This window comes from Homo sapiens, chromosome 1 (genome assembly GCF_000001405.40).
Source record: "Homo sapiens chromosome 1, GRCh38.p14 Primary Assembly".
In the NCBI taxonomy this organism is placed as follows: domain Eukaryota; kingdom Metazoa; phylum Chordata; class Mammalia; order Primates; family Hominidae; genus Homo; species Homo sapiens.
The window spans coordinates 243,158,590-243,179,713 of record NC_000001.11 but is presented as its reverse complement, the minus strand read 5'-3'; the positions used below and the strand labels follow the sequence as shown (position 1 = coordinate 243,179,713).

Here is a 21,124-nt window from a genome sequence, read left to right as displayed (position 1 = left end):
AATTTGTGACCTGCTTTTTCATTTGTTAGCATTTGTGTATGATTCGTTGTAGATTGGCTAACTTATTTCAATGAATTTATAGATTAATTAAATCCAACCATGCCCCCACAAAGAAATTTTTCTGCATTTTTATATGCTGAAACTAGTTTATATCTTGATTCCAAAATAACTTGTTAAAATATATAGTTTAAAACCTTGTATATATTATAAACTTAGCTTTGTAATATTAAGTATGAAAGCAGCAAAGATAGATAGTCTCAGAAGAAGAAGAAATGTATAAATTTTGGGGAGATGCTGTGATAAATAGACTAGACTTACCTTTGAGTTCCTAGCGATACCTACCTGACAGCTTCCAGCTGGAAAATCTGCTTGGCAAGGAAAGGGGAATATGATTATTGATGAACTTCCAGCTTATAGGGACTGTAAGAGGGGATACATGACCAGGGAATGAACCATAAAAGGGAGAGAAATTGGACATTTAAATTTTAGAGGAATTAGATGAGATCTAAGTATAATTTGAAGATATGAAAGAAAGAGCAAATCGAGAAAGATGTAGGAAGTGATGGGAGGGAAGAGATTATGGATGTAAGACTTCTAAGTAATGGGGAGAATCAAGGACACAAGGTAGGTTAAGAGGGAAGACAAAGATTTAAGAACATGTTTTCACCCAGACAGGAGAGCAAAGGAAGAAGACAGAGGCTGAGCGCAGTGGCTCACGCCTGTAATCCCAGCACTTTGGGAGGCCAAGGCGGGTGATCACGAGGTCAGGAGATTGACACCATCCTGGCTAACACGGTGAAACCCCCTCTCTACTAAAAATACAAAAAAAACAGCAGGGCATGGGGCATGAGCCTGCAATCCCAGCTACTCGGGAGGCTGAGGCAGGAGAATCGCTTGAACCCGGGAGGCGGAGGTTGCAGTGAGCCAAGATTGTGCCACTGCACTCCAGCCTGGGTGACAGAGCAAGACCCATCTCAAAAAAAAAAAAAGAAGAAGAAGATAGAGTCCCATTTAAAGAAAATATGAGGTAAAATTCATATAATATGAAATTGACTATTTTAGCCATTTAAAGTATACAATTCAGTGGCTTTTAGTACATTCACAGGGTTGTACAACCATCAGCACTATCTTAATTTCAGGGCATTTTCATCACTGCAAAACCAAATCTCATGATCATTAAGCAGTCACTTCCCATTCCTTCCTCTCCCAGCCTCCTGGCAGCCACTAATCTACTTTTTGTCTCTATGGATTTGCTTATTCTAGACATTTTGTATAAATGGAATCATACTATATGTGGTCTTTTGTGACCGGCTACTTTCACTTGGAATAATGTTTTCAAGGTTCACATGTGTTGTAACCTGTATCAGTACTTCACTCCTTTTTTTTTTTTTTTTTTTTTTTTTTTGAGGCAGAGTCTCGCTCTGTTGCCCAGGCTGGAGTGCAGTGGCGTGATCTCGGCTCACGTTATGCGATTCTCCTGTCTCAGCCTCGCTAGTAGCTGGGACTACAAGCACTTGCCACCACGCCCGGTTAATTTTTGTATTTTTAGTATAGATGGGGTTTTGCCATGTTGGCCAGGCTGGTCTCAAACTCCTGACCTCAGGTGATCCACCCGCCTTCGGCCTCCCAAAGTGCTGGAATTACAGGCACGAGCCACCACTCCCTGCCCATTCCTTTTTATGGCTGAATAAATATCTTATTGCGTGCATAAACCACATTTTATTCATCCATCCATCCACAGATGGATAATTGTGTTCTTTCTTCCTTTGGCTGTTGTAACACTGCTGTGAATGTGCATGCACATATATTTATTTGTGGACCAGGATAAATTATAAAATGTCTCTCCTGACTCCCTTTCTGTGCTCTTCTAATAATTTTGTCTGAATTTTAAATTTAAAAGTTGATTACAAATATGTGATAAAAATCACAGTGTTAAATATTCACAATAACTTATTCCATGGAATTTTAAGGGATTTTTCTTTTTAAAAGTAAAATTAGATTTTCATAGACAATTACAAAAATAAATTCCCCTCTTAAATCATCCTGATTTAGTTCCTTGACACTAGTGGCTAGAATTCTGCATAATTCTTAATTCTTAAAGTGTCAAATTATTTTCATGGGCCATGGGAACCTCTACTATTGATTTGATCCAACAGAGACCCTGCTCTCCTTACCCAAGAAGTCTTTGCTCATTGAGGAGGAAGATGTTCTGGTTATCTGAGGTTGAAACTTGAGTACATTTTTACTTGGACACCTTGATGTGATTGATATACTAATGCAATACTGTTTTTCAGTTGTTACTTTAAAATAAGATTGTAGAAGTTAGATGTTTAATCTGCCATTATATTTTTCATTTCTGTGGGAATATGAATTCTGAATTCCTACTGATTTGGATATTTTTTAAACTAATAAATTAGCACTATTGCTATTGAATTATCATTTTGCTCTACATTGTATTACTATAGTTTTATGCCTACATCTTACCCCACGGCGCTTCTCTTCTTTCACAATGGTCTCTATTTTCTGTCACAATCAGCAAGCTTCCCGTATCTGATGTTACTAAATGTAAATTTTGACCTCTCTGCAAATATTCAATAGGTAGGATATTTATCTGCATGAAAGTTGACCCTGTATCCCCCATCCTCACCATTCTGATTTCAGAATTGGACACTGTGCATCTTTGCACAGACTGAGCTTTTCAATAATAATGACTATGATCATAATATGCTAGTGAAAAAAATCAGTCAAACTTTTCATAGGTTTGGTTTGTATTGTACGAGTTTGTTATCTGGAGAATGTTTAGTCTCTTTAAACTTAAAACTAAAATCTAAAAATATCGTTTGGTTCTTATGGATATTTGGTTTTAATTACAGAATATTCCTGCATGGTTCTTTCAGGTGACAGCCTCTTCTTTTTATAAGCTCCTTTATCAGACGTAACCTCCTCAAAAGCAAAGACTGTCATACAGATTTTGTAATCCCCTGCAGTGGCTAGCCAAGTAGCCTGTGGAGAGTAAGTGCCATTCCTCAGTAACAGGTTGTTAAAATTGTTTACAGTAGCCACTGAGCTTTGGATTTGAAATCCCAAAGTGAAATGCCAAATATACAAATGTATTCAGAAGAAAAGATTGTTTCATGATTGTTGGAGTGGGATAGGGAGGGAGGTACTGCCTTCTTACCCCAGACCTAAAGGCCATGGCAGAGGGGTTGTGGCTCACTCCACAGAGATGTATCTACTCGGATCGGGGGAACTGTAGGAGAGAATATGTGAAAGCCACTTCCTACGCCCAGTACGAATGAGTTGTCTTTAAACATCTGCCAGGCCCAGACAGCTCTCCATGCAAGTGCAAGTTCACAAAGGAGTTTTCACCTCCTGTCCTATTCCGCCTTCCTTTGATCCTACTCTGGAAGAATTAGAAACTGGCAAACTTGGGGTGCAAGCATAAAAATTAGGTGTCTCATCTCCTTCCCCACTGTGGACTTCTAGCCTACAGAAGTTCCTAGCTGAATGAAAGACCTAGATTTTGTACTATCTCATGTTTGGGATTTGGATTGAGACCAGACCAGAGAAGAGAATCATGAGCCTAGAGGTGAGATACTATGTTGGAAATACCTTTGAGGCCGGGCGTTGTGGCTCACGCCTGTAATCCCAGCACTTTGGGAGGCTGAGGCAGGCAGATGATGAGGTCAGGAGATGGAGACCATCCTGGCTAACACGGTGAAACCCCGTCTCTGCTAAAAATACAAAAAATTAGCCAGGCGTAGTGGCGGGCGCCTGTAGTCCCAGCTACTCGGGAGGCTGAGGCAGGAGAATGGCGTGAACCCGGGAGGCGGAGCTTGCAGTGAGCCGAGATCGCGCCACTGCACTCCGGCCTGGGCGACAAAGCGAGACTCTGTCTCAAAAAAAAACAAAAAAGAAATACTGTTGAGCCTTCCAGCAGGTGGGATGACAGTAAGCAACAGTCTAGATAGTTGGTAATTGAAGTGAAGCCTTGCATGTTCCTAGGTGAAATCACCTGGGAATAGAATCTAAAATGAAAGGTGAGAGAACCTAGCATACTTGGTCTTGGTTTTGAGGAGCTCTCAAGTTCTGTACAATTATCAGCTCTTTTTTCAGACTGTAGGTACCTTTTATAAGTGTGAAAAGTACACTAACTTTAAGTATATAGACAGTATAAACTTTATATATTTGTTTTCACATAAAAGTTGTCACAGGTGGATGTGTTTCTACTTAGAGGCAGAAACGCATAGATATGGATTTCAATCTGGGCTGGTAGTCATTGCTATCATTAATTTTTCAAAACGCTATCAAAACAGATGTGAAATTTGAAGGCTTCTTTCCCCACACTGTAGTAGGTCAGGCCCTACCACTTGTTTGGAGAAGAAATAATTGTTACTTAATAATGTATGTATAGCTGTCTCTGATGCTTTAAAAGGAATCTGTCGAACGTCATCGAAGTATTTTCTGTCCGGCTTCAGCTCCCCTTCCTCACAGGATTAGTTCGTGTGTTTTTTGTTGTCATTTCAAAGTGGTGTCAGAAGTGATTTAGAGAGGTTCATGATATTTTATTTGAAACTGCTGGTGCTTAGATGTTTGAGGAAATCAAGTTTTTAGTGTGGATTAGAATGAAATATTCATCAGAAAATCACTCAAGATAATTTCTAAATTACATGTCAAAGAGATGCAAAAATGCAAGTACTCATGTGGTTATTTTAACTTTCAAACCTGAGTTAGATTTTTGTTAGTAATTATAAAATAAGTAAATAAACTTCAGTAAAATTGGAGTTCAGTGACTTGAGTTAGGAGTGATTAACTTTTTTAAAGACGGACACAAATAACTTGAATAGCTATAATTTGCTTTCTTTACAAGTGGGGGTTAAAGGTAGAGGACACAGGTTATACTCTGGTTTTTTCACTGCTGTTAAACTTAACGCTAATGTTAAGCAAAACGAAGCAGTTTTTGTTTTTTCCCTTCTGTACATTGTGCTTCCATGTATTAAAATTCATATTTGATTTAAAATAAACAATACATAATTTGCTCTTAAAGCAAAGATAATTTAAATATTGAGGAGTTCAAGAGAATATTAAATCATAATTCTTGACAATTATAGTTATGTTAGAATTAAATATTAAGTAATAAGACCATCTAGTGGTAAAATTTTCAAGTTTTAGTGAATGAGAAAGTCTGATACCTGTTTCACTAAATATGAACTTTAGAGCTTATCAGATAGCTGTACTATAAGACCATTAAAACTTTATGTCTAGAAAATAGTTTAGCCTGAGGTAGCTTCTCCTTATAGAAAATGAAGGCTCTCTGGTTATATCCTAAAGATCCTGTCTGCAAATTGCTCATTCAAATGCATGATATTTTTCTAGATTGTAATAATCAGAGCCACAAACAATAACTATAAAGAATAAAAATTGGGAACACAGTGGAGATTTAATAGCAGAATAGAATGTTAATATTTATATGCCTAAAATTTTTCCAATCTATTCTGTGACATCCAGGGCCTATTATGTGCCAGGAAATGAGTAAGACTCAGGTCCTGCCCATAAAAGAAAAGCACGCCATTGTTTGTCTTTGTATTTAGAACTTTTCAGAAGTGTTGGACATTGACAACTTGCTTTTTGAAACAATTAATCTTAAATAGGCCTGGAATCTGCATTTCAAACAAAGGTCTTTAAGGGATTGTTAGGCAAATACAGTTTGAGAATTATGCTATCTACTATGTCGCAATTATACAATAAAATGGCATCTTAGAAAATTTCATGCCTAAATGTAACTCAGATGTGTAAATGGTAAACATTTGCTAGGGAAGGAACAGATAAAATCAGCCACATGTTTATGGTTTTTCAACAAGTGTCACAAAAATAATAGAGCAAAGAAGCTGAAAAGAAACTGAAGAGATACTTTTTTCTAACTCTTTGCATTGTTGTACTGTTTAACAACATTATTAAATCTTTTTTTTTTTTTTTTTGAAACAGGGTCTCACTTTTTCGCCCAGGCTGGAATGCAGTGGCGTGATCTCAGCTCACTGTAACCTCCGCCTCCTGGGTTCAAGCTATTTTCTTGCCTCAGCCTCCCAAGTAGCTGGGACTATAGGCACATGGCACCATGCCCAGCTAATTTTTGTATTTTTAGTAGAAACGGGGTTTCACCATGTTGGCCAGGCTGGTCCGGAACTCCTGACCTCAAGTGATCTGCTCGCCTCGGCCTCCCAAAGTGCTGGGATTACAGGTGTGTGCCACCACGCCTGACCTATTAAATCTTTTAACAAATAAAATATGTCTTGAATATTTTTTTTTAATCGAACAGGACATTTGCTAAATGTTAAAAAAAGGATAGTTACTTTCGGCCAGGCATGTTGGCTCATGCCTGTAATCCCAGCAGTTTGGGAGGCCGAGGCGGGCAGATCACCTGAGGTCGGGAGTTCGAGACCAGCCTGACCAACATGGAAAAACCCTGTCTCTACTACAAATACAAAATTAGCCGGGCATGGTTGCGCATGCCTGTAATCCCAGCCACTCGGGAAGCTGAGGCAGGAAAACCTCTTGAACCCGGGAGGCGGAGGTTGCGGTGAGCCGAGATCACGCCACTGTACTCCAGCCTGGGCAACAAGAGTGAAACTCCGTCTCAAAAAAAAAAAAGGATAATTACTTTCACATAAGCTGTGACTGCCTGCTTTCGTTTCTAGCTATCACAATTAGCTGTTACTGTCATTCAAGAAGTTTTCCTTAGTTTTGAAATTAACTATTAAAATTAATTTGGAATATTTTTATTTGCCTCTGAAGTTAATTATACTATTCACATATTAATCTTGTGTTCAGACTTTTCGTTTTCATTTATAAAATAATTTTTCCCTCTAGGTGTTTGGAGTAGATGACAATCAGGATTATAATAGGCCTGTTATCAACGAAAAACATAAAGATCTAATAAAAGATTGGGCTCTCAGTTCTGCTGCAGCAGTAATGGAAGAAAGAAAACCACTGACTACATCTGGATTTCACCACTCAGAGGTATACATCTCTTCTGTGTACCTATTTGAATGCATAAAGTATAAATTCTTTTTTTTTTCTTGTCTGAGACAGAGTTTCACTCTGTTGCCCAGGCTGGAGTGCAATGGCAGGATCTCGGCTCACTGCAGCCTCTGCCGTCTGAGTTCAAGTGATTCTCCTGCTTCAGCGTCCCAAGTAGCTGTGATTACAGGCGTGCACCGCCATGCCCGGCTAATTTCATATTTTTAGTAGAGATGGTTTCACCATGTTGGTCAGGCTGGTCTCGAACTCCTGACCTCAAGTGATCCACCCGCCTCAGCCTCCCATGGTGCGAGGATTACAGGCATGAGTCACCGCACTTGGCCTGAATTCTTATCATTTGTAAATTACATTATTTTAAGCAATTAATGTATCTCCTTGTAAAATGCTTCTAAAAACTAAATTTTTATAAATTTATTTTCTAATGAAAGCCTAAAGCAATTTTGCAGTAATTCAACTTTAATTTTTATTAGGTGTTAGAAATATTCATTTGTCAATGAGGAAAATATTAGGTTTCAGTAAGCAGTTAATGAGCTATATGCTCATGGTTCTGATTGGCATTATGAGATAAAACAAGAAACATATCCTGCTTATACTTTCTTAGAAGTATATGTTTCCTGTATATCATACCAGGAAACATGTACGAGGGCACTGCCTGATAGATACAGTTTATATAACTCAGTAACTGCAAATACAGTACAGCCCGGGATATAATTAGAATAATATGAAATTAATTAAGGATTGCTTGGTTAAGATAATTACAGAGTCAGTATGCATAGTAGAGCTAGAAAGATCTGACCCAGAGCTGCCACTTTTAGCTCAAAGCTTTTGAATCAGTCACTTCTCCCTTATCTTCTGTTTTCTCATCTACACAAATGGCATTTTTGATAAAATATTTACAGAGAATTTAATGAAGTATATAAAGCATCCAGCATAGTACTTGCCTGAGATTTATGCACTTAACAAATGTTTTTTACCTTTATCAGAAATGATATTAGAATTTCATACCACATTGATGTGTCAAAAAGAAATGTAAAAAAGTATCTAAGGCATAAGTATTAATTATTATTTATTCAGATAATAAGAGCTAACCTTCAATGGAAGCTTTCGTTCTCTGACTCATGCTATATTGTCTCTCAGGAAATGAGCTAATTTGTAATATACAAATATAAATTAATAGAAAATAGGAAATAAAAGAAGAAAAAATATAAAAGAAGAAAATCAAGGTATAAATAAAGAAAATATAAATAAAATGTTACATTTGTATGAAGTATAAATAAGATTTGTTTCTTACATACAGGTAAATAGACCTATATGTTTGTTTGTTTATTAATGTTAAAATTGTTTCTTTATATGGCCTATTTCCTGAAAACTGTCAAAGCAATTACTGTATTTTAGTGCTCATTATTTCCCTGTGATTGGGAGAATTTTTATTCTGGTTTCTGTTTTATGAGATACTTAATTTACTTATTGAAAGCAGGTGATAATTATTTGAGGCAATATGATGCCATTCTGAGTAACCCAGGAATGGTTTTGGTAAATGTGAATTTAAATAGACTCTCTTCTTTCTTCTCTATTCCTTCAACCCCTGCCAAGCAAAAGCTATAGCCCTGGTAGGTTCCTTTGTAGGAATTACCTAACATTACCTAACAGGACATTTAGAACACTCTTCACAGAATGGTTTTACATACGCGTGTGTCAGTGACGCTCATACTGTTGGTATTCTTAGCATGGTCCACATGGCTCTGGTACCACCTTCACTGCTCAGAAATGTGGGCAGGTAACAGAAAACCTTGGATGGGATTAAGGATGCAGCAGGCTTTGGTATCCTTAGGAGGCTTCACTGTATGTGTGTCATTCTCTATACTTACTATTCTGTTTTTTTGAGACGGAGTCTCCCTCTGTCACCCAGGCTGGAGTGCAGTGGTGCCATCTCGGCTCACTGCAACCTCTGCCTCCCGGGTTCACGCGATTCCCCTGCCTCAGCCTCACAAGTAGCTGGGACTACAGGTGCATGCCACCACGCCCGGCTAATTTTTGTGTTTTTCGTAGAGACGAGGTTTCGCCATGTTGGCCAGGCTGGTCTCGAACTCCTGACCTCAGGTGATCCACCCGCCTTGGTCTCCCAAAATGCTGGGATTACAGGCGTGAGCAACCACACCTGGCCTGTACTTACTATTCTTACCTACTATTCTTGAAATCTTATAGTGATTTATCTATTTGAAGTCTTCACTTCTTCAGTGTTTAGCTTGTCATTATTAATGTATTAAATCTGGCACTTTTTTTTTTCTTTTTGAGACGAAGTCTCGCTCTGTTGCCAGACTGGAGTGCAGTGGCACGATCTCAGCTCACTGCAACCTCCACCTCCTGGGTTCAAGCAATTCTCCTGCCTCAGCCTCCCAAGTAGCTGGGATTACAGTCATATGCCACCATGCCCAGCTAATTTTTTATTTTTAGTAGAGACAGGGTTTCACCATGTTGGCCAGGGTGGTCTCGATCTCCTGACCTCATTATCCACCTGCCTCGGCCTCCCAAAGAACTGGGATTACAGGCATCAACCACCACACCCGGCCCAAATCTGACACTCTTAATAAAATATTTGTTGTGACTAGTTGGTAATAAAGTTTCCATCGTAGCTTTCCACTCCCTAGTTGTCATTACAGTTTTCATATGAAGCCTTGGCTTGTCTTGGATTTTCATTGAGAGGTGTCATTTTTAGTAACATAGTTTTTTTCAGAGAAGATCTTTATTTTCTAGAGAATTTTTATTTTATATAAGAGAAGATGTAATCAATGATAATATAGCAAGGTGAGGTTTAATTATGGGTTTGTATGGCAAGTTAATGTGACTAAATGAAATTGTCTTTCATGAGACTCAGATATGACCAGGCTGCATGATTTTGTTTTCTTATTTTTCTCCTTTAGGAAGGCACATCTTCATCTGGAAGCAAACGTTGGGTTTCACAGTGGGCTAGTTTGGCTGCCAATCATACAAGGCATGATCAAGAAGAAAGGATAATGGAATTTTCTGCACCTCTTCCTTTAGAGAATGGTATTCTCTTTCTCTCTTTCATTCTTTATCCCTTTTTTCTTCTCTTTCTCCATTTCTCTCTCTTTCTCTTACTCTTCTCTGCTTTTTTGTGAATCATATATCAGTTGTTATTATAAAAAACAAGCCAAATCTATATAGTAAGAAGTAAGTTAAACCTAAATAAACATATTCACATATTCTCATGCTGATAAATGAATTCATTTTATAAGTAAAAGGCTGATTTTTATTAGATATTGTATATTTTGAGGGATTTTAAGCAGGGGACAAATTCAAAGTGATAAAACTCTTTTTTGAGAAATTTTGTGGACTTCGTAAGTTGAGACTTCCTAAGGACAGGTGGACAGACACCAGCTTGGATTTAATATTTCATTCCGAGGCACTTTTCATTTTAGTTGTAAATTTCTGCTGTTGAAAATAAGAATGGTTTTTAAATTTTGTCTTTACTTTTAAATGAAAATTCTTCCTACTCTTTCTGATATGCTGATATCTTAAGATATGATTTTGACTAATGATGCAGCTATTATTCAAGTATAAACTTAACTGAAGATAAGGAAATAATTTTTAGATGAAGCATATATAGGTGTGTGTATATATTACATAGAAAGATGAAGCACATATATATTATATATATATAAGTTAAAATTTAAAAATAAGCTGAAGACAGGTCCAAACGATTTCATTCATAAATACAACAGATATTTATTGAGTGCCTACTTCATGTGGTACATTTAGTGAAAAAGAAGTTAATAATCTTACAAATCTATGTAGTATGACTTTTATTACCTTTTATATTTCTGTGAACAGAAATATAAAGGCTTTTTAAACAAAATGAAGTTGTGTACCTTCAAGGATTTCATTATTACTTTTTGTTCATTAGTTTTCTAATTAACAATAAGACCCTGAAAGGAGGATGAGGAGATGATGGTCAAAAGGTACAAAATCTCACTTAGACAGGTGGAAGAAGCTTTTTTTTTTCCTGAGGTCTGCTGCACAGCATGGTGAATATAGTTAATAATATAGTATTGTACATTTTAGATGTTCTCATCACAAAAAGTGTTAACTCTTTGAGGTGATGAATATGCTAAGTAGCTTGATTTAATTATTTCACATTGTATTTATGGTCAACATTTTATACACCATAAACATATACAAATATAAATTGTCAACTTACAATAAACAATTAAAAAACTTATCCAAGTTGAAAAATAAATACTCACTTACAGTTAAAAAGCAAAAAGACCCTCAATGAGATTTTGTATGTGGCTTTTATCTGTTTTCTTAATTTCATTCCGGTTGAAAATGGAAATTTGTTTTGTCTCAGGCTTGTGGCACCCCAAAAATCTGTTTTAAGAATTTTGTAAGTATTAGAAGTATTTGAGGAAGCTACATAGCAGTGTACTAGAAAAGCTACGTCATTTATTTATATTAGAATCTAGAAGTTATTGATAGTATGACCAAAAATTCTTTTGAGGGAACAGAGTCATTTGGTTCGTATAAACTGTGTTTAGGAAACAAAGAAACCAGACAGAAGGCTAGATAACTTTACCAAAGAATCCGTTATAAAATTATTAAGTATTATCTGTGAAAAGCAAAGTTCTACCCTTGTTATAAAAAATAATAGACCACTTAGCTTTCATGATCTCATTTCTATGTCATCATATTTAAATGAACTTATTTACATAAGCTGATAAATCTACTTAAATAATAAAACGTTTTTGTTAAGCATATTGAATGTATATGAGGAGGGGGCAGTATGAGAAATACTGGAAAAATACAAAAGGGTAAAGTAGCCATTACATTCTAGATGCTTCAGTTAGCACTAAGGAGATAAGATATATGAAAGAAGAAACAAAACAAGATATAACATGATTAATGACTAAAGTTAAATCTATCAGTTCAGTATGGATTTTCCTCCATCACATCCATTGTATTGATATGATATTTAAATACTAAACTTTTAGGATTGTAAAGAGGAAAAAAAAGACCCACAGAAGCTATATCTAGTATCTTTTCTCCATTTATCCCTAAAAGATTAGGAAGCTTTATATGTTAATTTATATTTCCCTGAAAAGATGTTTCCCTTTTCTCAGAAATACATTCCATTTTTAATAGTCAGGAAAATCCTTAAATATTCTCAAATTCTCTCAGGTGGAAAAATCAAAATATATATTTTCTCATTGGCTTCTACTTGAAAAAAAAGAAAGGGATTTTGTATTTCCATATGTGGCATTAATAACCAGAAGACTATAATTTAAAAATTCCTCAATTTATAAAATTTTGCTATGTCCTAACTATGAAAAGTCTGCTGTTACATACTTACAATTTTTAAAATTCTTTTAATCGGCTATAGATTTTTTTAAAATGTTGTTAAAAGTTCTGCATTTTTCACTTTACTTAGGAAATCCAAAATTATCATTCTTTCAAGTAGATAATACTTTTTAAAAACTAGTTATGTTGTTCTTCTCTACTATGTAGTTGAAAATATAGAAAATAAACAATGTTTATTTGACATTCTCTGTATAAATCTACAATAGATTCTGGTTTTTTGAGCAAACCTCAAGGATGGAAAGTTACAAAAGTGAGAATGAACACAGTGAACTTCCCTTCTATAAAACACATTAAGAGGAAAGAAGAGCAATATATTTAGGTTTAAGATCAGATGACCCTTTTATACCATTATGACTATAGTTAATAACAATGCCTTGGGTATTTGAAATAGCTGAAAGTAGATCTTAAATGTTCTCACCACAAAAAAGATAAGTACGTGAGGTAATGGATATATTAATTAGCTTGACTTAGCCATTCCATAATGGTATACATATATCAAAACATCATGTTATACACCACAAATATATATAATTTTTGTCAATTCATAAATAGAAAATTAAATATATGAAAGGAGAAAAATGATCAGATGACTCTAATTTTCATCTCATACAATTGGCCTTCCTGACTTCTCTAGGAATTGCTTATTTGTGCAGCTTGAAATTGTACTTAAACTACTTCGTCACAATGCTGGCTCGTTTGTTTTGTATACTTAAGTCATTTTTAACTTACATCTCAAAATGTAATGTAATATAGCTGGCCCTCTCTAGCCATAGGTTTTGTATTAGTGGGTTTTGCATCTGTGAATTCAACTGAGGATTGAAAATATTTGAGAGGGGAAAAAGAAATGATTGCGTCCCCACTGAACGTGTGTAGTCTTTATTTTTTTGTACTTATTCACTAAGCAATACAGTATAACAACTATTTACATAGCTTTTACATTGTATTAGGTATTATAAGTAATCTAGACATGATTTAAAGTATATGGGAGGGTGTGAGTAGGTTATATACAAATATTATACCACTTTATATAAGGTACTCAAGCATCCTTGGGATTTGGTATCCTGGGGGAATAAGGGGCCTGGAACCAGTCTTCATGGATACTGACAGACAACTGTATGATGCTCCTTTTATTTTTATTTTATTTGTCTTAATCAATTCCTTCTTTGTGGTTTTTATTTCATAGAGACAGAGATCAGTGAGTCTGGCATGACAGTGAGAAGTACTGGCTCTGCAACTTCCTTGGCTAGCCAGGGAGAGAGAAGGAGACGAACTCTTCCCCAGCTTCCAAATGAAGAAAAGTCTCTTGAGAGCCACAGAGCAAAGGTTGTAACACAGAGGTCAGAGATAGGAGAAAAACAAGACACAGAACTTCAGGAGAAAGAAACACCTACACAGGTATACCAGAAAGATAAACAAGATGCTGACAGACCCTTGAGTAAAATGAACAGGGCAGTAAATGGAGAGACTCTCAAAACTGGTGGAGATAATAAAACCCTACTTCACTTAGGCAGCTCTGCTCCTGGAAAAGAGAAAAGTGAAACTGATAAGGAAACTTCTTTGGTAAAGCAAACATTAGCAAAACTTCAACAACAAGAACAAAGGGAGGAGGCTCAGTGGACACCTACTAAATTGTCTTCCAAAAATGTTTCAGGTCAGACAGATAAATGTAGGGAGGAAACTTTTAAACAAGAATCACAACCTCCAGAAAAAAATTCAGGACATTCTACAAGCAAAGGAGACAGAGTGGCACAAAGTGAGAGCAAGAGAAGAAAAGCTGAGGAAATTCTGAAAAGTCAGACTCCAAAGGGAGGAGACAAGAAGGAATCCTCCAAGTCATTAGTGCGACAAGGGAGCTTCACTATAGAAAAACCCAGCCCAAACATACCCATAGAACTTATTCCCCATATAAATAAACAGACTTCCTCTACTCCTTCTTCTTTAGCATTAACATCTGCAAGTAGAATACGAGAAAGAAGTGAGTCTTTGGATCCTGATTCTAGTATGGACACAACCCTTATTCTAAAAGACACAGAAGCAGTAATGGCTTTTCTAGAAGCTAAACTACGTGAAGATAATAAAACTGATGAAGGACCAGATACTCCCAGTTATAATAGAGACAATTCTATTTCACCAGAATCTGATGTAGATACAGCTAGTACAATCAGTCTGGTTACTGGAGAAACTGAAAGAAAGTCAACCCAAAAGCGAAAGAGTTTCACTAGCCTCTATAAAGATAGGTGTTCCACAGGTTCTCCTTCCAAAGATGTTACAAAATCATCATCTTCAGGTGCTAGGGAAAAAATGGAAAAGAAAACAAAAAGTCGTTCCACAGATGTGGGTTCAAGAGCAGATGGTCGTAAATTTGTTCAGTCCAGTGGGAGAATAAGACAGCCCTCAGTAGACTTAACAGATGATGACCAAACCTCTAGTGTACCTCATTCTGCCATCTCTGATATTATGTCATCTGATCAAGAAACTTACTCTTGTAAACCTCATGGACGGACTCCACTTACCTCAGCTGATGAGCATGTACATTCCAAACTGGAAGGAAGTAAAGTAACGAAATCTAAGACTTCTCCGGTGGTATCTGGTTCATCTAGTAAATCAACCACCCTTCCAAGGCCACGACCTACCAGGACTTCCCTCTTGCGCAGAGCACGACTTGGTGAAGCTTCAGACAGTGAACTTGCTGATGCTGACAAAGCATCTGTTGCTTCTGAAGTATCCACAACAAGTTCTACATCAAAACCTCCCACAGGAAGGCGTAACATCTCTCGGATTGATTTATTGGCTCAGCCTCGTAGAACACGACTTGGCTCACTGTCAGCTCGTAGTGACTCTGAAGCAACAATTTCTAGAAGTAGTGCCTCTTCGAGGACCGCAGAAGCCATCATTAGAAGTGGAGCCAGACTAGTACCATCAGATAAATTTTCTCCTAGAATTAGAGCTAACAGTATCTCTCGACTCTCAGACTCCAAGGTCAAAAGTATGACCTCAGCTCATGGCTCTGCTTCAGGTAAATTGGATCCAGATTTCTAATAGCATTAGCATGTTGTATATTTGGGGGCTCCTTTTTTTTTTTAAAAAAAAAAGTAAGGTTCTAGTTGTCTTCCCAAGATACTCATTCAAAACAAAAGTTATGATATACGGGGCAGCGGCGGTGGGGGGTCTATAAAACAGTTTTATTTAGCATAGTAAATGGAAAATCAGAAGTTATACATACTTCCAATTAGAGTCCTGGCGCAAAATAGTGATTTCAAAACTAGGAATTCATTGAGCTGATTTAGGAGTTTTAATTTTCCAGTTGGTGCTATATTTGGATGTGTGTGTCAAAATTAAATTATCTGGAAGTATCTGGTTTAAAGTATAGGAATTAACATTGTGCTTCTAAAAGCATGTGTTTAACCTTTAAATATCCTCACATAATTCAAAGCCCTTAAGAACTTGAAGAAAAGCAGTATATGCTTTATTACTCCTTTCAGAGTTAAATGAAATAATCAATGTTTTCTTTTTTTTCCCTACCCATTTTGAAATGTCTCACATACTTTACCTATACTTTTTAAAGTTAAATCTGTTTATAGTTGGAGCAGGTGAAAACTAACCTTAATTTATTTCAGTGGAAGAAGATGGATTCATGGGGAATCACTCAGCGTATATTGGCCAAACTGGGCTGTAGAAATTTAACTGGTTATGAGCATTATCTCACAAAGTGCTGTTATATCATTTAACTCTAGTAATTAGGTGTAATTGAATATAATAACTACAAAAACTACTTACTTTCCACCAGAATTTAACTGATGCTGTTATATTTGTTTGCTTATGTGCTTTGTATTCAGAGCTGAGGCCATTGAGATACATGTGTGACCAAAGAGTAATGAGGTGGATATTTGTTTGTGTCCTATATGCATGTTCTCATTACTTCATAATGAGCCTCATATGTGGACGTGGCTGCAAAGGCCAGTGTGGGAGGCCAGCTGTTACAACGGACATGAAGATGTGTGATTATTTTCAGTAGGCAGACATCTAAGTAAGCCCTAAGTCTTGAGTTAAGAGTGGAGGGGAAGTTGATATGAAATTTCATCTTTTTATTTTTGATTGGTTTACATCTACCACACCATCTCCTACAAGACCCTAAAGGAACAGTACTTTGCATATGATACTTTTTTCACTTTTCTTCCTCTTTTCACTGCTGCTTTCCTCCACTCCATTCACCTGTATCTCTTTGCTGGTCAGTGGGTTTGGTAATGATGGTCACTGTCTATGGTAGAAATGGACGTAGGGTGAAGCCAGATAGCATATAATCATGATTCCAAAAAAAATAGACAACATTTTCCTTATTACCCCAGTCCTCATTTCCACACTTGAAGCTTTGGTTGGTGGTTCACAAATTTATTGCCAAATATTTTAAAACTAACTACTACATTTTGGTTTATTTTCATTCTGTTTTTGGTTATGGCTCTACTTCAATTCACATTTCATCTGTGCTGCATTTCCTGATGAAATTTCTTCTGCTGTACTCCTTGTTTTATCACCTCATCTCCATTAAGATATGTATGTATTTTCCTGTCTTAACATAATTTCTATGTTACCAGATAGCTTGGAGTACCTCTTAACACATGATGTGGTTTTATTCCTCGATATTTAGGATAAGGCTTGAGATGCAAGCTAAATATGATTACTTCAGCAAGTCTAAGAAACAACTGTAAGATGCTATATATAAAGACAGATTTCATTTTCTGCTTCTTTGAATACAGAACTTGATAAATACTCAGTTTTCTGTGTCCAAAAATAACCTTGAATTGTGTATGAAATTCCCTAGGACACATTGATGTATATGATTTTAGTCTTTTCATACTTACTAGCAGTATATTAAATAATTAGAATCATGGAATTTAAAAGTTAGAAGGGTTATTCTCTTAAGGGAACCAAGGCCAAGAGAGGAAATAACCTGCCCTGGGCACATGGCAGTGGCAGGGGCAGAATAAGAATCAAAGACTTTTAATCCCCAGCCTGTTTTTCTACCGTATCTATTCTAGCTCTAAGAAATAGTTTCAGTGTTTACTTGTATGCAAGCTTCCAGAAGACAGCTAGAATCTACTGGATTATTATCAGGAGTATATGCAAGGTCAATATACAATATAAAGGTTTTGGTATTGTTTACTAAAATCTTTGCAGTTCTGATGTTTTACCCAGTTTATATTCTCTATTCCACCTTATGAGTGTAAAGCCATATTGTAATCTAGGATTGTATATTCAGATTCTCTCAAGATACCCACTTATAGTATTAGACCTTATCTAGGACAGTGGCCAGGATCTTTCCTTCAGTGAGAACATACTATAATAGCTGTATGGAAAAGGTGGTCAAACAAACAAACCTACCTGTTTGATTTTGCTAATTTGGTGCCTTTGATATTATAACATTTCTTTTTAAGATAATTATAATATTTTGAATGGAAAAAGAAAAGCAAAATTTTAACTTTTGAAACATGATTTAAAAGAATGTTAAATCATGCCGATCAGTGTTGCTGTGCACAGTATAAACTTTAAAGACCTTGGAAATAATCTGAACCTAGCACTTGTGATATTGTCCCAATTGGATATGTAAAAATAATTCCATAATGTTTCCAATTCCATATTTTAGATGATGTCTCTAAAATATTTTTAGGCCAGCACAGTGTTTCATGCCTGTAATCCCAGTATTTTAGGGGAGGCCAAAGTTAGAGGATTACTTGAGCCCAGGAGTTCAAGGCTGCAGTGAGCTGTGATCACACTACTGCATTCCAGCCTTGGACAAGTGAGACCCTGTCTCCATTAAAAAAAAGTTTTTTTTAAAGAAATGTATGTGATAAAAATAGAAGATTGGAAATCTCAGATTTAGCAATATGAAGAGAAGAGTTCTGTATGTTTCTCTGATGTAATTTGCAATTTGCTTCTAGGAGTTTAACTAGTTTTTTTTTCCCCAAAACATTCTTTCAGTGCTTCTTTTTTTTTTTTTTGAGACGGACTCTTGCTCTTGTTGCCCAGGCTGGAGTGTAATGGCACAATCTCGGCTTACTGCAACCTCTGCCTCCTGGATTCAAGTGATTCTCCTGCCTCAGCCTCCCAAGTAGCTGGGATTACAGGCGTGTGCCACCATGCCCGCCTAATTTTTGTATTTTTAGTAGAGGAGAGGCTTCACCATATTGGGCAGGCTGGTCGGTCCTCCCGTGTCAGCCTCCCAGAGTGCTGGCATTACAGGCATGAGCCACTGCGCCCAGTCTCCTTCAGTGATTCTTGATATCAAGTTGTAACTGAAATATCCAGATTTATTTTGGCAAGATATATTTAAATTTAAAGACCTTGAATTATCAAAATAAAGCACTTGGTTTTCATTATGTTTTAAGTGCACATTTTAGAAAATAAAAACATTATGTTAATATCCTTAGAATTTTTTGAGACTGTTTGCAGTCCCTTTTTAATTCTAATCTTCAAAATTTATAGGCAGTAGAAATTAAATGTTAGACATGCATGGCTTGAGTTAACTCTTTCTCCAGGTCAAAGGACAAAACAGAGCATTGTCAGCAGTTTTTCTCCCCAGCTGATCTTATTGCTGAATGCTCATAAATATACATTCAAAACATGTTTGTGGTAATTTTCCACTAAAATATTCTGATATTGTATGAAGATGCAATGTGTGTTTTCTGAAGCGTGTTTGCAAAATCTATAGTTGTATGTTTTAATGCCAACAAAGAAATTGGAACATTCACAGAAATATGATACTAACAACTCTTTTTTTCCTTTTTAAGTCTCTAGACATCATAAATGATAGTATGTTTTTGTAGTGAATATAGTAGTTTAGTACTACAACACAAGAGGGAATGTTGCCTATTTTATAATTAAAAAATAAATTTTGTAATGAATGCTGTAGCTCTAGCTACAAGCTTAATCAAGCCCATCTTGGAACTTTCATTTTAATATATATGCTGTCTAGGCCTTTACTAACGAATAAGTCTCTTAGAGATAGGCATTTCAGACACCTTCCAATGCCTTAGTAATATCAACCCATCAAATGAGCCTAATAATATATTAAGAAAATCAAATTTATTTTTATAAATTGTTACTTAAGCTGAATAAAATTCAAGAGAAAGAAATAAATTTTTTCTTCAACACAGGTAGATATCAGAAAAACTATCATTACATGAGAAATTTAGGATGTCTTTTTAAAACAACTTGGCTGGGCACAGCGTCTCATGACTATAATCCTAGGACTTTGGGAGGCTGAGGCAGATGGTTTACCTGATGTCAGGAGTTCGAGATCAGCCTGGCCAACATGGTGAAACTCCGTCTCTACTAAAACTACAAAAATTAGCCAGACATGGTGGCAGGTGCCTGTAATTCCAGCTACTCTGGAGGCTGAGGCAGGAGAATTGCTTGAACCTGGGAGGTGGAGATTGCAGTGAGCCAAGATGGCGCCATTGCCCTCCAGCCTGGGTGACAGAGGGAGACTCCATCTCAAAAACACACACACACACACACACACACACACACACACACACAAAACCGGAAACAAAAATGTAGAATGTATACAACACTTGGAATAACAGAGAATTCGTTTTGAACTCTGGGAGTCCATAGACCTGGCTTATACTTTGATTTCAGCAAGGTAAGACCTCTCTGGGCCTGTTTCTTCTCTTTAAATGGAAGAATTTAGACTCATGTCAAAGGCCATTCTTCTAAAATTTTATGAAATAAGTAGATGGGGGGAAATTTAAAATATTTTAACTTGAAGTTTATTTGGTGTTAATTAGCAGGTGATAGGGAATTTTCTTTAGAAGAAAAAAGGTTAGGTAGCTGCTATAGTTTGGAAGCAAATGTTAAGAAAGAAAGTTTTGAAATAAATTCTTTGAGAAATAACAGGTTAGAGGGCCTAGCATTGAACTCCCTTTCCCAGTCCCTTCTCCACCAGTAGCCATCATTTCACTCAGTCTCAGCTCTGCTCTTTGTCGTTACGCAGACTGTGTCCAGAGTTAACTGGAGCTTTTCTTCATAGCATCCCATGTGTGATATGTTTTCCACTGGCAAAGGGAGCTCTTAATTACTTAATGATTTTTAATCACATTTTTATTTCTCTGCTGTATGCTGATTATCCAGTTTCCTCCTCAATTTTAAAGAACATACCTAAAGATGTTACCTTTTACTTTTTAAAATATGCTGTATTCGTTTGATTTTTTTCTTTTTGTTTTGTTTTTGTTTTTGAGATGGAGTCTGGCTCTGTCACCAGGCCACAGTGCAGTGGTGCGATCTCAGCTCACTGCACCCTCCGACTCCAGGGTTCACGTAATTCTCCTCTCTTAGCCTCCCGAGTAGCTGGGATTACAGGCGCGCCCTACCACGCCTGGCTAATTTTTGTATTTTTAGTAGAGATGGGGTTTCACCATGTTGGCCAGGAGGGTCCCGATCTCTTGACCTTGTGATCCTCCCACCTCAGCCTCCCAAAGTGCTGGGATTACAGGCGTTAGTTAGCCACTGTGCCCGGCCCCTGATTGCTTTTAAAAGATATTATTAGTAGCTTTACTATTCTTACTGACTTCTAGGTAGACCAGCCTATGAAAAGAGATGGAAAGTTTGTGAAAAGGAAGTTTTTCTCGTACTTTTTTCCTCAAAATGTAATTGCATTTTGATCCTAAGCTCAGACTATTAAAAGTTGATTCTAGCATGGCTCTACTTATAT

The 21,124-nt window shown here is 36.6% G+C and overlaps 1 protein-coding gene across 27 annotated transcripts in view, besides 3 other annotated features; it reads left to right on the top strand.

Annotated features, from left to right (window-relative positions):
* Positions 1-21,124, top strand: part of CEP170 (centrosomal protein 170) — a 131,358-nt gene that overhangs the window by 76,072 nt on the left and 34,162 nt on the right. For all 27 annotated transcript variants that reach the window (XM_047435483.1, XM_006711843.5, XM_017002951.3 and 24 more), the window contains 3 exons: positions 6,868-7,017; positions 9,960-10,086; positions 13,598-15,430. In XM_047435483.1, coding sequence (XP_047291439.1) covers positions 6,868-7,017; positions 9,960-10,086; positions 13,598-15,430 — 2,110 coding nt within the window. The remainder of the gene's footprint in view (positions 1-6,867; positions 7,018-9,959; positions 10,087-13,597; positions 15,431-21,124) is intronic.
* Positions 2,903-3,601: an enhancer, noted in NCBI's record as "H3K27ac-H3K4me1 hESC enhancer chr1:243339415-243340113 (GRCh37/hg19 assembly coordinates)". NCBI's record gives its function as "activates a minimal SCP1, AML or CMV promoter by ChIP-STARR-seq in naive H9 embryonic stem cells {active_cell/tissue: H9 hESC(naive)}" and the evidence as "EXISTENCE:reporter gene assay evidence [ECO:0000049][PMID:30033119]".
* Positions 3,602-4,302: an enhancer, noted in NCBI's record as "H3K27ac-H3K4me1 hESC enhancer chr1:243338714-243339414 (GRCh37/hg19 assembly coordinates)". NCBI's record gives its function as "activates a minimal SCP1, AML or CMV promoter by ChIP-STARR-seq in naive H9 embryonic stem cells {active_cell/tissue: H9 hESC(naive)}" and the evidence as "EXISTENCE:reporter gene assay evidence [ECO:0000049][PMID:30033119]".
* Positions 5,242-5,887: an enhancer, noted in NCBI's record as "NANOG-H3K27ac hESC enhancer chr1:243337129-243337774 (GRCh37/hg19 assembly coordinates)". NCBI's record gives its function as "activates a minimal SCP1, AML or CMV promoter by ChIP-STARR-seq in naive H9 embryonic stem cells {active_cell/tissue: H9 hESC(naive)}" and the evidence as "EXISTENCE:reporter gene assay evidence [ECO:0000049][PMID:30033119]".